This window comes from Homo sapiens, chromosome 17 (assembly GCF_000001405.40).
Source record: "Homo sapiens chromosome 17, GRCh38.p14 Primary Assembly".
Lineage (NCBI taxonomy): Eukaryota > Metazoa > Chordata > Mammalia > Primates > Hominidae > Homo > Homo sapiens.
The window spans coordinates 43,743,147-43,759,316 of NC_000017.11; the positions used below are offsets into that span (position 1 = coordinate 43,743,147).

Consider the following 16,170-nt stretch of genomic DNA (forward strand, 5'->3'; position numbering starts at 1 on the left):
CCCAGGGGCCTCGAGGACAAATCAGTTCCCTTCCTGGGGGAGCAGATCCTCCTGGCTGGGATCTTCAGTCCAAGTTGGTTCAATTTATATCCTTCACGTCTGGCTTCTCCTGCATGTCCAAGTCACAGGAATTTTAAGTCAGGATCTTCTCTGCACCCCTGAGCATGACAGCCAGCCTCTGCCCTCATGAAGCTCCCAGTCTAAGGGAAGAAATAATAAATTGGTGGCCGGGCATAGTGGCTCATGCCTATAATCCCAGCACTTTGGGAGGCCAAGGTGGGCAGATCACTTGAGGTCGGGAGTTCGAGACCAGCCTGGACAACATGGTGAAACCCCATCTCTACTAACAATACAAAAATTAGCCAGGCGTGGTGGCATGTGCCTGTAGTCCCAGCTACTCAGGAGGCTGAGGCAGGAGAATCGCTGGAACCTGGGAGGCAGAGGTTGCAGTGAGCCAAGATCATGCCACTGCCCTCCAGCCTGGGTGACAGAGCAAGACTCTGAGATTATTATCTCAAAATAATAATAATAATAAAATAATAATAATAAATTGGCAGTTAGAGGGCACTTCGCCAAGGCAATATGAGGGAAACTACAATCTGTCAGGAAAACACAGGGGAAGGCCCTAACTGGCCCAGGAGGTTCAGCGGGGCATCCAGGAGGATGTATGAGAGCCGAGGAGGGAGTAGAAGGTGATGTAGGAAAACCACTTAGCTGAAAGACTCGCTGCCCAAAGGCCGGAGGTGGGAGAGAGTGCGGGACTTGCAGGAACTAAGAGGAGCCCAGAGAGGCATCTGAGAAGAGAAGGGCTTGGAGAGCTGGGAGCATCAGATCGGGTTTAGCCTGGGGGCCTGGCTGAGGTGAGTGCTCTCCATCCTAAGGCCACAGGAAGCAGAGGAGGGACAGGATCAGATTCTGCGCCCAGAGGAAGACTGGCTTAGAGGAGGTGAGTCCAGAGGCCAGGAGAATATCAGAGGCCAGGACAAGGGAGACGGCGGCCAAACCAGGGAAGTGGCACTGGAGAGAAATGGATGGATTCAAGAGACGTTAGGCAAATGGACAGAAAACAGAAACCGCGCACGTGGTGGTTGGTGAGTTGAATGCATGCAGGAGATAGGGGCCCAAGGGAGAACCATAGGGGGTTGATTCCAAGGGTCTGGTGGAGCCCCTGAGGGGTTGGAGACACCCAGCTGGTCAGCCACACAGTCTGGTATTAAATGACACACGGCTGGTCAGCCACACAGAAGCTGGGCCAGTGTGAATGGGTCCGGTACCGACTTCAGAGTGTGCACCTCTGTCTCCCCAGACAGCAACAGAAGGACCAGGGAAATTTAAAAGGGAGTCTATGATGATATTGTAATATAAAATCTCTAATGAAGATGTGACTACTAGAAAAAAGGGAAATAAAGCGATTGAGGAAAGGAAAACAACTTGTGCATAAAGAAGAAAAGAATAAGCAACTGAAAGCTCAAAACATTTTTCCAGGCCTGGGGGATGAGGTGGAGAGAGTCTCTTGCTCCCACTCCAGGAGGAGGGCTGCCTGGAACTAAAGTTGGTGCTTATGATCTGGTATTTAAATGACATTCTTAGTGGTGGTGTTAGCGGTAGCAGAGCAATTGTGCCAGGGCCCACCGACCCCTTGCTGGTTCACTCAGTTGCCAACATATACTGATATACTGAGCACCTGCTGCAGGCCAGGCTCTGTGATCTCAGATCTCAAGAACAAGCCAGCTCAGTCCCTGTCTAATAGAGCTTACAACTGGGCAGCGGAGGCAGACCTGCCATGAGACAAATATAAAATGACAACTTGTGACAAGGGTTAGGAAAAAGAATAGTGGAATCCTGTTTTAGATGGGATGGTCAGGGAAGGCCTCTGAGGAGGTGATATTTGAGCCGACATCAGATGGATGGCAGAGAATGCAAGAAGAGTGTCCCTGGCAGAGGGAACAGCATCGTCATAATTGGGAGCTGGTGCTTTCGAGGAACTAACAGACAGGCAGGGTGGGTGGAGGGTGGGAGCCAGGGCTGGGCTGGGGGTTGTGAGGACACTGACAAGAGACCAGTTGGAGAGGGGGCGGGGGCTGACCATGCAGGAATTGGAATCTTTCAGTAAAGTCCAGACCAAATGATTCTTCAGGGTCCTTGTTCCCCCAGGTTTCAATGACACTTTAAAGGTGTTGTCGTAAAAGGCTGGGGAGTCTGTTTCTATGCCCCCAATCTCATTTAAGAAGGGGGGCATCCAGGCCATCATGGAACAGGTGACCTGGAAGATGTTCCTTGGTCCAGTTTCTGCAAACTGCCCCGCAGCATTTTTAGAAAATGTTCCCTTTTAGATTCGATTTATCTTAGCCAAATTGACCAGGGAAAATAGGTGCCTACAAATAGCGATCACTGGCAAACAAGGAGAGTTATTATCTTAAATTAAGGCTGGTTTCTAACAACAAAAAAAAACCCACCAAATGCCACTGGCCACCCCCCACCAACCCCGATCCCCAGCGCATACGTGAGGACGATGGCTCCACCACCCTCCCTGTAAGTACCAGGCTCAATGCCGGGCTCTGTGCAAAGGGAAGGAAACAGACAGAGGAAGGAAGGCAAGAGATTAGAGAAGCTGACAGATGTAAATAGCCTCAGAGGAGCCACACTGTCCCGGCATTTCTCCCCAGGGAGCCTTTTGTACCAAGGAATCTGGTTGCCTGAAAGAAAAATGTTATCATTTATTTCTTTAGTCAGAGCTGAGCTGTTTTCTTCAGACATAGAAATAACCTAACATCACACACCAAATTGTTGGCCAAATGACAGAGATACCTGTAATGTGGGTGTTTAATAATGTCCAGGGTAAACAATCATGGACTTGGTTTCTTGGGAAGGGCCCCGTTCCCCGCCACGGTTGCAAAGCTACAGAGGGTCTTGAATGAAATAAGTGCTTTGGAAAAGTTGTCCCAAAGTTCTTGCCTGCTGCTGAGCTGGGAGGAAGCTGGGCTTTTCATTTCTGCTGCTCAAATCATGCCCCAGCAGCCAAACATCCATTAATTCAACAAATATTTATGGAGCCCGGATTCTGGCCAAGCCCTGTGCAAAAGCACTGAGGCTACAAATGTGCAAAGGCTGGGGTCCTGTCCTCAATAGCCTCATAGTCCAGAGGGGAGACGGCCACGTTCAGCCTGTGTGTCAATCTTGTAACACAGCCTGGATGTGGCGTGGTGGTCAGCTCTGTGGAGGAGGCAGTCTCCTCAAAAGGAGACTTGAAGGGGAATTTCCAGGCCAGAGGAGTTGGAGGAGGGGATCCTAGACAGACTAAGGAGAATGTGCAAAAGCAGAGGCTTGAAACCCCCTGGGCGATTTAGAAATTAAGAGAAATACGATATTGCAGAGAACAAAGTGCTAAGGAAGTCAGCGGTCAAATGCGTGGCTGGACAGGTAGATGGATACCAGATCATGTACTTGTAAGCTAAGGAGTTTAGAGTTGACCTTTTAGGTAATAAATTCCATGGAGGAATTTGAGCGGGGAAATAGCATGATTAGATTTTTGTATTAGAACACTCACTCCTCTCTGTCCTGAAGAAACTCTAGCATATGTCGCGTCAGGAGACAAATTCGGGCATCTTCCTTAGTGCATTGGGTTTGATGGTGAAAACACTGGAAACAAACTAAATCAGTAGAAAAATAGATAAGCAGGCCAGGCGCAGTGGCTCACGCCTGTAATCTCAGCACTTTGGGAGGCCGAGGCAGGTGGATCACCTGAGGCCAGGAGTTCGAGACCAGCCTGGCCAACATGGTGAAACCTCGTCTCTACTACAAATACAAAAAATTAGCTGGGTGTGGTGGCACATACCTGTAGTTCCAGCTACTCAGGAAGCTGAGGCAGGAGAATTGCTTGAACTCAGGAGGCAGAAGTTGCAGTGAGCCAACATTGCGCCATTGCACTCCAGCCTGGGTGACAGAGCGAGACTCTGTCTCAAAAAAAAAAAAAAAAGAAAAATAGATAAGCAAATAGTGGTATAGTCATAAAATATAATACCATTCAAGATTTTAAAATAATCCAACATGGCTAGATCTTAAAAGCATAATTTTGAGTAAAAAAAAAAGGTGAGTTTCAGCATATGTATGGTATGATAAAATGCGTGTGAAATTTAAAAACGCACGTTTGTATATTGATTATAAATAATATATGTAGGACGGTATGAAAACATGGATTGTTGCCTTTGGAAACAATCCATGGAGGGAAAGGCATGGAAAGAGAAATACATAGAATTTTTCTATTGGTTTTATATCTAAAAGAAATATGGGCGGGGCATGGTGGCTTACACCTATAATCCCAGCACTTTGGGAGGCCAAGGCAGGAGGATCACTTGAGCTCAGGAGTTTAAGACCAGCCTGGGAAACATAGTGAGACCTTGTCTCTAATAAAAATAAAAAACATTAGCTAGGTGTAGTGGTGCACACCTGTAGTCTCAGCTTCTTGGGAGGCTGAGGTAGGAAGACCACTTGAGCCCAGGAGATAGAGGCTGCAGTGAGCTATGATTGTGCCACTGTACTGCAGTCTGGGCAACAGAGTGAAACCCTGTGTAAAAAATAAAGAAATACTGTAGATGGAGCTAAAATGCTAACGTATTAAATTTCCTGTGTTTAAAATATTTTTTGAACTTTGCTTTTTAAAAAAACAGAGAAAGTAAAATCCATCTGGCAGCGGCATAGCAGATGGAAGGGAGGGGATTGGGGAATGGGACCCCGAGCCAGTCTCTGTCTCCACACAGCAGCTCCTGGGTGGAGGAGAGCTGGAGGCCGATCTTGGGGGACCCAGGGAGTAATGCATGCAGAGAACACTTCACCTTGTTGGGCTGCTTTTGGCCTCTGGGCAGAGCGGAGGCGTGGTCCTGGCATCTTGTCTAGTGTCCCTGGAAGATACGGGGCTCTGTCTTGATCGGAACTGGCGACCATTCTGACCTGGGATGTCAGTATCATTTTTGGACATCTGCCAACCAAGGGTCAGAAACAGGAGGATTTTAGAATACCTGGGAAAGCTTGGCATTGTATATTCAGAGTAAAGATGGTGTGAATGTGTGTGTGTGAGTGTGTGTGTGCATATGCAAGCACATGTGCAAATCCAGAAGCACAGTGAAGGTGAGTGTTCCCCAAGGGGGTTTGCAGTGGATGCAGTGACGAATACATTCACTGATGAGGATGCTCTTCTATAGTTCAGAGAAGTAAGAATGAATCATGAATCTTTCCAGAAGGAATTCATTTCTAGACTCCTTCTTACCTTTCAGATCTCCATCGCCTGACCTAGAGTCTCGGCTGAATAGCATAAACCTGTATCCATCTACATATATTTATACATCTGGCTTAGAGCCACAGCAGGGAAGAATTCACAGCAGGATCTTATAGGCACACAGCCTATAGGATCTTATAGATTACAGCCTGGATCTTATAGGCATCCATTAAAGAAAACTACAGGCATTTCCGCAACTGCATATGAATTGTGTCACATCTGTATGTGCTAGAAGGAGTTCAAGGGCATCAATATTCCTATTGTAATACATCTGCCCAGTGCTAGCAGCATTACTTAAGCAAACCTATCAAAAGCCTAAAGAATAAAGATGTGGCGGGGTGCGGTGGCTCACACCTGTAATCCCAACACTTTGGGAGGCCGAGGCGGGGGAATCACGAGGTCAGGAGATTGAGACCATCCTGGCTAACACAGTGAAACCCCGTCTCTACTAAAAATACAAAAACAAATTAGCCGGGCGTGGTGGCACGTGCCTGTAGTCCCGGCTACTCAGGAGGCTGAGGCAGGAGAATCACTTGAAGCCAGGAGGCAGAGGTTGCAGTGAGCCGTGAGATCGCACCACTGCACTCCAGCCTGGGCGACAGAGTGAGACTCTGTCTCAAAAAAAAAAAAAAAAAAAGAATAAAGATGTGCACCAGCTTGGGCAACAAAGTGAAGCCCCATCTCTAAAAAAATACAAAAATTAGCCGGGCATGGTGGCAACTGCCTGTAGCCCAGCTACTCAGGAGAGTGAGACAGGAGGATGGCTTGAGCCTGGGAGGCAGAGGCTGCAGTGAGCCATGATTGCTGCCACTGCACTCCAGTCTGGGTGACAAAGCAAGACTTTGTCTCAAAAAAAACATGTATAGCTACATAATTAATAATATGCAAATATTCTTCTTTAGGGTCACTTAGGTTTTCAACATACAGACCCAAGAGAAGGTACAGAGACTCATTCTCTCTCTCTTTCAATCACACACACACACACACACACACACACACACACACACACACACCCCTCTTCACTATAATTATAATTACTATGTTGGCTTCCAGATCAGGGGTTAGAGCCTTGGCATGGAGACGCCTGAAAGGCACCCAAGGCAATTAGTGGTGTCCCTTCTCCACCCCCTACATACCTTCAGGCCCTTTGCACTTGCTGCTCCCCCTCCCAGTGCACACACCCCCAGATCCTTGTGTGGCTCCCTCTCCCACCACATTTTGGTCTTAGCTCAAATGCCACCTCCTCAGAAATGCCTGGCCTGGCCGCCTTCAGGGCTGTCTATATGCTCACCAGCTTTAATTTTCTTTCGAGAACTTTCCATTCCCGGACATTGTACTAAATGTTTATTTGTTATCCGTCCATTATCCATCTCCTTGCCAGCACTCCCTGTGAGCTCCATGAGGCTCCAAGATTACAACCACATGCCCAGAGCTAGGGTGGTGCCTGGCTCACAGCTGGCATCCAGTCAGTAGCAATGGAATGAATGAATGATCACCCTCTCTTCCTCTCCATCCCCACCCTCTCCTTTTTCACTTCCTCTCCCGCCCCATCTCCCCTGCCTCCGCCTTAAATCTGCTGGCATGACCAGCCCTCAGGAAGTTGTCAGGCAGGGGAGGTGTGTGCTCTGCACCCCTCTCCTTCCATCTCTCTTTCCCACCTCCCTTATGGGTACCTATCTCTCCTACCTGCAGCTGCTCGCTGCCAGCTCTGGCCCTCTTGGTGGGCAGAAGCTTAGGCACCCCAGACAATTGTAGGGAAATTGGGCATTGGAGGGCAGCCGTAAGAAAGGATTCAGTACCTGCCAAGGAATGATGAATTTAGTCTCTCACCCATGAACAGGCATGCACTTTCAGGGCTCAGGTTCGGTCTCTAAAGCAGAACGTCATTCAGGGCACCCTTCAGTACCCATGACCCAGTGTCTCGCCTTTCCTGCAGGAGTCGGTGCTGCCACTATGGTGACTCAGCCCCTCTCTTCTCCTCATTCATTACCTGGGTTCTTCCTGCAGTGATTGACAGTATCCTTTTTCTTTTGAGATGAAGTCTTGCTCTGTTGCCAGGGCTGGAGGGCAGTGGCACAATCTTGGCTCACTGCAACCTCTGCCTCCTGGGTTCAAGCCATTCTCCTGTCTCAGCCTCCCGAGTACCTGGGATTACAGGTGCATGCCACCATGCCTTGCTAATTTTTGTATTTTTAGTAAAGATGGGGTTTTGCCATGCTGGCCAGGCCAGTCTCTAACTCGTGACCTCAGGTGATCCACCCGCCTTGACGTCCCAAAGTACTGGGATTACAGGTGTGAGCCACCACGCCCAGCAAGTTGCAGCTCTTAATAGCATGGGCACCATATAATTTACTGCCCAGATTGGGTCATTTTTTAGAGTAGAAGTGGGAGCTGTTAATAATTACGCTTGGCCTACAGGTGTAAACGAGACCACCCTGGGCAAACCAGGCACATGGTCGCATTGACTAAGAGGAATATTCCCCTGCCTCCTGCATCTCCAGCCACAAAAGGAGCCTCAGCTGTTGGTCAAAGCTGCCCAATAGCTGAGCCCTTGCCTGCCCTTGGACAAGGGAGAAGACAGAGGGCAGGTTCCAAGAATGGGGTGGGGATGTGGCAGGAAGGACGGTGCAGGCCCCAGAGCTATAATCAATGATCTGGGAGCCGGGTTGTGGAGCACAGGGCTGTGTCAAGGAGCAGGTGGGAGGTGGGTGGGTGTGGGACATGGCACCAGCTTTTGGTGTCTGTGACTCTGAACTTGGCTTACTCGCAGGTGGCTTCTGCAGGCTCTCCACCCTCCCAGCTGCGTAAGTCCTGCCTGATTCAAGGAAAACAGGGAATTTTGGGGTCCTGTGGCTCCTCCAACGTTCTTTTCCTTTACCTCCTTGTGTAAATGTGGCCTGATTTGTACTTGGAGCATAAGTAGACCCCTACAGAGCGTGTGTGTGTGTCTGTGTGTGTGTGTGAGAGAGAGAGAGAGAGAGTGAGAGAGAGAGAGACAGAGAGAGAGAAAGGGACCTATTTCCTTCTATCCCTCTGTCTGTCTTACTCTCAGACTATTAATACAAGCCCTGAGTCTGGCTGTACCCCCAGAACATGTGCCCCGCCCCCTACAACAAAATGCTGCCCCTCCCAGCTAGGTCTGTTGTTTGTTCCTTTTCTGATTGGCGCCAGGCTTATAGACCCCATGTAGGTAGAATATAACTTTCCATAAATAACCTCTAACCCGACCTACAATTTAGCCTTCAGGTTTTTTTCCCCCTCGTGGTAATGGGATTGCAGCCTGGGCTGATCCATCCTGTATCTTCAGGTCCCAGAAAGCAGACCCTAGGTTTGGACATTGCTTGGAATTCCTGGTACCCCCATGTTGCCTTGCACATGGCAAGGACTCGGTACATGTTGAGGAATGGTGGATTCTCTTCTACCCATGAGCAGCCATGCACTTGCAGTCTTTGCTTGGGCTATGCCTTCTGCCTAGAAGCCCCCTTCTCCACCTGGAAAATCTCTAAGCAGCACCCACTTTGTGAAGCTTTCCCTAACCACTATCCCTCATCCCCTCCACAGAGCAAATTACTCCTATCTTGGATTCCCATAACACTTGGTACAAAACAGTGTGACCTGGTTATTGCCCATGTGCCCACCAGGTTCTAAGCAGCTCAAGTGAGGGGTAGGGCAAGGAACTGAGCCCAAGTATGGCTGTGGGCAAAACATTTAACCCCTTGGTGCTTCAGTCTCCTCAGATTCAAACACCAACCTGGGGCTGGGTGTGGTGGCTCACGCCTGTAATCCCAGCACTTTGGGAGGCCGAGGCAGGCAGATCACTTGAGGTCAAGAGTTCGAGACTAGCCTGGCCAACATGGTGAAACCCCGTCTCTATCAAAAATACAAAAATTAGCCAGGCGTGGTGGCACGCACCTGTAATCCCAGCTACTCTGGAGGCTGAGGCAGGAGAATCACTTGAATCCGGGAAGGCAGAAGTTGCAGTAAGCCGAGATCGTGACACTGCACTCCAGCCTGGGCAATAGAGCGAGACTCTGTCTCAAAACAAACAAACAAACAACACAAACCTGACCCAGAGCCCGTGTCCCCACCCACTGGACCGCACTGCCTCTCAGGGATGGAAGATGTCTCTGTTTCCTACCTGCTCTCATATTCTGGGCCCTGAGACACTCATGATGCATGGATTTTCTGCAGGGGCTCACTGAGGCCTCCTCGGGGGCTGGAGCCCCAGGAAGGGACCGGCCACTGATACCCACTCACACCTATCAAAGACTTGATGATGATGATTAATTCAAGTGGGTTATTGGTAGTTAAACTGACAAGTCATCAGGAGGGACCTCAGCTTTCTTTGTGGGGGTGGGTTCCCCCAAGGTAGGCTGGACTTAATTTAAAGCTTTCCAGTTGACCATCCCACCTTAGGGCAACTGAAGAGTAACTTTAGGGTTACTCTTCATCTGAAGATGCTAACTCAGCTAGCATCCAGCACTATTAAGACACCTTGGGGAGGCGAGACTTTGAGAGAAGTGCAGGAGGCTGGCCCACTTTTGAAGATCCTACATTTCTACCCAGGAGGCATCAAATCCACACTTCGAAGAAGATGAAGTTTCCTGTGAGCTGGTCCTGAATTGTACTTGGCTTTGTGTTGTCTATGCCAGTACTAAGCAGGACTTGGCCAGGCTGGTCCTCCATGAATGACTGTCAAATGGAAAACAGAATTAGGAACCAAAGTAGTGGTGTAGACAAAAGGGGCTGGAACCTCAGAGGAGAGAGGGATCATGGGAGATTGGAACATCTCTGGAAGGTTAGGGGAAGAGATGACAAGTAATGTGAATCCTAAAGAAAGAGGATTAGTTATTGGGGGTGCTAAGTGTGGATGGCAAACTAAGGAAGCAGGGATCTGCATGACCATTTGGAGTCAGTAGGAAGCTTGGTGGAGTGGGAGGTGGGAGTCAAGCAGAGAAGGCCTCCCATGTCAGATAGGGAAACTGCACTTGATCCTGGGCAAGGGGGAGCTATGGAAGGCTTTTGAGCAGGGGAGTGATACAATGAGAACAGCATTTTGGAAGCCAGCATGGAGGGGAGGCTGCTAAAAGGATACAAGGCTGAGGTTATTACCATGCCCTGGGTGAAGAAATGCGGTCTGGGTTTGGAAAGGAAGGGATAAACATGACTTTTCAAAGGAAGACATAATTGCCACAAGGGCCACCAGAGAGCAGTCAAAGGTGTGTCCAAGGTTGGAGCTCTAGTGACCAAGAGAAGGGTGTCAACTTTGACAGAAATGACGTCATGTGTGGTTGACAAAATGAGACCACATCCTTTCGGTCATGATTCATTGTCTTTATTAACAATGTCTCTGGACTCTGGAAGAACAGACTGTTAATTCATAAAGCAATATTAACATTGTCATTCTCTACAAGAAAAACTTTTGCATAAATAACTTAAGTGAGAAAATAAATATGTAACTTAACTCTTTAAAAACCACTACTTTCATTCTTGTGGACAAGTCCCACGTGGAAGAATTGCCAAAAAAACGACCAGTCCTGCAGGCTTTCATATGTCATGTGCTTCTGTTTAAAACTTTTTTTTTTTAACAATTAAAAACTACACAGAAAGTAAGAGGTTGTCTGGAAATGATTTTCAAAAAGATTTTTGGGTGGCAGTATTATGCTCTGCAGTTTCTCAGCATATGTACAGCACTTGTAGTTTTTCCCCCAATAATATTCTTTTAGTGTAAGATATGCCATCACATGTAAGAGCAGTAAGAAGCTGTTTTCTAGGCAGAAATGTGTCCGTGAGTGGTGGGCAGAAGGCGGTGTCTCAAAAGGGATGTGCTGGTCTGTGAGTTTGTGATGGCTGCTCCCTCGGGCCTGCAAGGCCAGTGTCCTTGAACCTTTCACTTCTCTTCGGAAGGTGACTTTAAAACATGGCTATGGGTCGGGGGAGGGATGCTGCTCTTTGGGAAGTTGGGGCGGATGTGATTTCTATCCCTCCCACCACCCTCGGACCCTCTCCTTTTCTACCCCAATGGATGATGTTATTTCTTTGAGATGGAGGGGTGGAGGTAGCCAAACATCCGGGGAAGCCAGGCTGGGAAGCAGCATAGCTTCTTCCAGGAGTTTGTCAGCCGTAAATATGTCAGCCATAAATAGACTCTTTACTTTTTTTTTTCTGTTTGTTTTTCATCTTTGGCTGTCAGAAGAGAGCATCACAACTCTGAATTCTGGAAGTGACCTTGGCACTGAATCAATGCAACTGCATTCATTCTCTCTCTTTCTCTCTCTCTCTCTCACCTCTGCCCATTCAAAAGGCACTGGAGTCCTTGGAATCATATGCCAATAGTCTCCTCGAGATCCTATTCCCACCTCCACCCTCATTTTACAAAGTGGAAATTGAGGTCCCGAAGGAGAATTGTGTAGTTCAAGGTTACACAGCAAGTTAGTGGCAGAGCCAGGACTAGAAACCACATCTACAGTTGCCCCCAGTCTTGTGCTCTGGGCACGCCTCAGGCTTTCTGATGGGCAGCGAGGTGCAAGGGGGAATCTTATCCAACTTTCTTAACCAGTCCCTGGACTTTCCCACTCCCACACCGCTCCCTTAAAACCCCAGGGCGGTGAAAATGCTTCCATTTCTGCCTCCTCTGAAGTGGGACCAGCAAAGGTAGGCGGCCCCAGAGGCGGGGCTGCGTGGCTCAGTGTCTGTGACTCTCAATTCCCTCCCCTGCCCCGTGGGACCCCTCAGCTGGCGGGCTGAGGGGGGCCTTGCCGGCGCCCGGGATTCCTCAGGGCCTGGAAGGTCTCAGCCCCCTGCCCTGGGTTGCAGGCATTTACAATGAAATATAAACAATCAAACCACGCGCAGAGGACAGAAATGTGGGGCGCGGGTTCAGGGCCGGGGCGCCCGCCGGTGGGGAGGGGCGCGGGCGGGCTCTAGTAGGCGTTCTCCAGCTCGGCCTGGTTGGCTTTGGCGCTCCGGGCGCGGGGCCGCGGCTTCCGGCCCTTCTGCGGCCGAGCGGCCTCGGTCCCGAAGTCCTTGAGCTCCGACTGGTTGTGGAAGCGGGTGAGGCGCTTGCACTTGCACGAGGCCACCAGGCGCACCTTGCGCGCGCGCGGCGCCTCACCACCGGGACACAGCAGCTGCACGCGCTGCGCGCGGTAGCGGTCGGGGATGCAGCGGAAGTCGGGCCCACTAGGTCGCCACCACTTGCCGCGGCCGATGGCGTTGGGCAGCAGGCGCGCCGGGCCGCACTGGCCGGAGCACACCAGCTCGGTGACCGGCTTGGCGCTGCGGCACGGCCCATCGGTCACGTAGCGGGTGAAGTGCAGCTCGCGGCAGCTGTACTCGGACACGTCTGTGGAGAGAGGCGCGCGTGAGGGTGGCCGCCCGCCTGGCCACCCCTGCCCTGGACCGGCCCGTCTCTCTCCACCCCAGCCCTGCTTTTGCCAAGCCTGTCTCCAGAGGCTTTTGCCCCTGAACATCTATTGCAGGAAGGTCCCAGATGCTCTAGAGCTGGTGGAAAGCTCTCCTGCGCACCCTGTCCCCTCGGAGCCAAATGACTGCTGGGGTTCAAACACCAGGGCTCCATCGCTCACTGCAGGTGTCATCTTGGGCAAGTTCCTTAACCTCTCTCTTCTTCCTGTCTGCAAAATGGGCCGCCCCAAGCATTGCGAGTTAATCCATTACACACGCAATGCAGAAAATACCATTTGGCACATATAGCTGAAAGCGTCGGCTGTTATGTATTATTATTATCATTTCTCTTCTGGGGTCTTCTTATGATTTAAGCCACACTTGTGCCGCAGGGTCCCTGGCCTGGGCAGGGTAAGTACTCAGCACACCTTCTGCCTGGCTCTGGCTTCTCCCAAATTCCTTTTCCAGCCACTTGGGAGGGGTGGACAGGGGATGGAGAAAGGAGTAGAGGTTAATTGAAGGTAATAAATCAGGGCAGCTGCTGTGGAGGCGAGGGACTGAAGGGGAGGTGATCAGGACAGGAATTCATTAGACTTGAAAGGAATCAAAGGCAGTGTGTCCAACCCCCTCATTATCAATGAGAATACTGAGGCCCAGCCAGAGAAAAGAACTTGCCCAAAAGGCTGGGCTGCATCTCCGGACTCCACTTCCCTGGGGTCCCAGCACCTTTTGGCTCCGGCAAGAGTGGAGGCTCTGCGTTCGAGCATCCATGGGAGGCTGGGCTGGGGGATGGAGCTGAGGGCTGCTTTTTACTGTCGTTACTTTCCTACCATAGGGGCCCTGAGCTCTGACCCAAAACCTACAGGTTCAGCTGCCACAAACATTGACCTGGCTCTCTGCTGGGCACATTTCTTGTTCTGTGTTATCTGAATGGGCGCCTCATGGTGATACTCCCTGGGCAGGCAGAGATTGGGCTCCGAGGCCTGGCCTGATCCCCTGCACACACCTTGACCATGTCTCCTATGGTGGACTTAGATGGGTGGGAGCTTTTTAAATAGCTGGTCGTCGTGTGAGTACCAGTCCACCCCCAAAGGTTTCATGGGGATAGTTCCAATGTGACAAGAAAGAATGAAAAATAGTCTTAAGACCAAACCAGAGAGGGGACAGAGAAGGCCACCCCCCACCCCCACTCTGAAGAGCAAGCACAGCAGGGGAGATGTGGCCACTGCCATCGTCTGGGGCTGCTTTCTGGTCTGTGGGCTGGTTTGCATCCTCACCTCTGCAGGGCTGGAATGTGTGTGTGGTCAGGGGGGCATTTGCCCAGGGAAGGGGGCATTTTGCGGCTTTTCGAGAATAGCGCCCCTAGGCCAGGCACTTCCTCTGCAGATCATGACTTTGTTTTGAGCATGTGGCTTCCTCAGGGGCTGTGGCCTCTCGTGGGAGTCCAGCAAGGTGGACATTTTGTGTTTGGGTTCCTTACAGCCCTTCAGGCAGTCGCTGGAGCCCAGCTGACCTTGCCTAGAAGGGGAGCTGTGGGGGGAGGCGCCCTTGTCCTCCATTTTGAAGACGGAGGGTCCTGGCTGGCCTCCCATGCAGTTGCCCTTTTTAGCACCCCATAGTCCCAACAGGTTGTGAGGCGGGGAGGGCTGGGGTCCAGGAGCCTGGGCAGTGGACTTCTCTGCCACCTGGATAATGGCCAGAGGACAGGGAAGCTCTTAGTCTGAAGTGTCATTTCAGACGCCCCCATGGCCTCAGGATTCCTGCCAATTATAGAGCCAGATGCACACTGTCACCTGGGCTTCTCTGTGCAGGCCTGACCAGGAACCCAGGGTTCCTCTTCCTTCTCCCTCCCCTGGAATGAGGCAAGGTTGGGACTGGGGTGGCTGCTGAGGACAGATGTCCCTACTCCTGCACAGAGGATGCTGCTCTCCCCTCCAGGGCCTGGACTCAGCTGCACCCATGTCAGGGGCTAAAACTGTGCCGAAAACTCCCATTCCTTCAAGTGCCAGCTCCCTGGGCAGGCCGTGGGCAATGCACACTGCAGGGGTGCCTCTCTGGCCTTCCTCCCCACTGCTTTGTGGAGATCTGTCCCCCACACCCCCCCACACACCAGGGCTATCTTGCAGTTGGATCAAACCAGGTTCACACCTCAGCTCTTCTCACTACCAAGTTACTGAGTGCCTGGAACCTGTTTCTTCCCCTTCGAGCTGGGGGTTCACCTCCTGGGGATTCCATGATGTGGGTCTGTGTGGTGGGGACAGCCACCACCAGCATAGAGTGTCCGGTGCCCCACAGGTGCTGTTCTGTGGATGGGAGGCTCCCTTACCTTGTTCCCTTCCCAGTGGTACCAGCAGCTGGACGTGGCTCCTATATTCCCAGGAGGAGATTCTTTGAAACCTTTTCTTTTCTGAGCCCCTGAGCCTGTTCTGATGCCCTGATGCCATACCCTCACCACCCCAGCGTCCTCCCTGCCCTGGGCTCTCACCAGCGTCTGTTGCCTCATGCCTCTGCACCTGAATTTGAAGGCTGCACCAGCGAGCCATTCTTCCCCCACCTCCAGGCAAGACTGTTCCTCGACCAGTGCTGGCAGAGGCCAGCAATCTTCACTGGGTCTACCCCAGTCTTCCAAGCCTCCCAAAGAGAAGTTTCTAAAACCTCCCCAGGATCTTTTACTAAGAATTCTCTCCTCCACCCCATACCTTTGGTCTCAAAGGGGTGGTGGGGAGGCCGCCCTCCGTTCTCCGCCCGGTTCATGGTCTTGTTGTTCTCCAGCTCCGGTGGAGGCTCGGGGTACTCTCCGAGCTCGGGGATGATTTCCGTGGCATCATTCTTGAACGCCTGCCACCCCTGGCCCTCCACTACACGGAAGGCTGTGTGTACCAGCAGGCAGACGAGACACAGGGCCAGTGGGAGCTGCATGGTACCAGCCAGAGGAGGGCACGCCACCTTCCAGTAGCACAGGCTCTGGTCTCCAGCCGAGACACGGTCGCCTTTTTAAAGCCCCTCTCTGCTTCATGCCAGCCAATGAGGACAGGCTGGGGCAGGGCTGGTCCCATGTTTCCCTCAGCCCCGGAGGGAGGGAAAGGGGTGTGCTCAGAGCAAACCCTCCCCAAAGACTTCTCCTCTAGCTCAGCAAACTTCCAAATTGCTGCTGGCACTCCCAGGTGACCCAGAGAGAGGGGGCGTGTGAGGCAAGGCCCAAGCCTGCTCTCCGGCACCTCCCACGTGCTGGCGGCTGTGGTTTTCAGATATCAAAATGAGCTCCGGCTTTTAATTGTCTGTCTCCCTGGGCCCTCGGGCATTCTCAAAACAAACTGTGGACCCGCTCAACAAAGAAAATGTGCAGTTCTGAGTGCTTCGCGGGGCTGAGCCCGGCCTATTCCATTTCTCAGGCCAAGTTCATTTGTCACCCCACCAACAAATGGCCCAAGGCGTTTCTGTTTGACCCCCATAGACCCAGCCAGAGGCAAAAAGATGCTTTTAAAGAAATCCCA

General features: G+C 51.2%; 1 protein-coding gene across 1 annotated transcript, besides 2 other annotated features; it reads right to left on the bottom strand.

Moving 5' to 3' along the window:
* Positions 818-977: a silencer, noted in NCBI's record as "fragment chr17:41821332-41821491 (GRCh37/hg19 assembly coordinates)". NCBI's record gives its function as "represses an EF-1alpha promoter that drives an FKBP-Casp9 reporter gene in an ReSE screen in HepG2 liver carcinoma cells {active_cell/tissue: HepG2}" and the evidence as "EXISTENCE:reporter gene assay evidence [ECO:0000049][PMID:32094911]".
* On the bottom strand, positions 10,592-15,645 carry SOST (sclerostin). The gene is made up of 2 exons (NM_025237.3): positions 15,376-15,645; positions 10,592-12,617 (listed from the first exon to the last, which is right to left on the bottom strand). Exons 1-2 carry the CDS (start codon positions 15,593-15,595, stop codon positions 12,196-12,198), a joined length of 642 nt encoding a protein of 213 aa, NP_079513.1. The 5' UTR covers positions 15,596-15,645; the 3' UTR covers positions 10,592-12,195.
* Positions 11,175-11,377: a silencer, noted in NCBI's record as "fragment chr17:41831689-41831891 (GRCh37/hg19 assembly coordinates)". NCBI's record gives its function as "represses an EF-1alpha promoter that drives an FKBP-Casp9 reporter gene in an ReSE screen in phorbol 12-myristate 13-acetate-treated (for megakaryocytic differentiation) K562 erythroleukemia cells {active_cell/tissue: K562(+PMA)}" and the evidence as "EXISTENCE:reporter gene assay evidence [ECO:0000049][PMID:32094911]".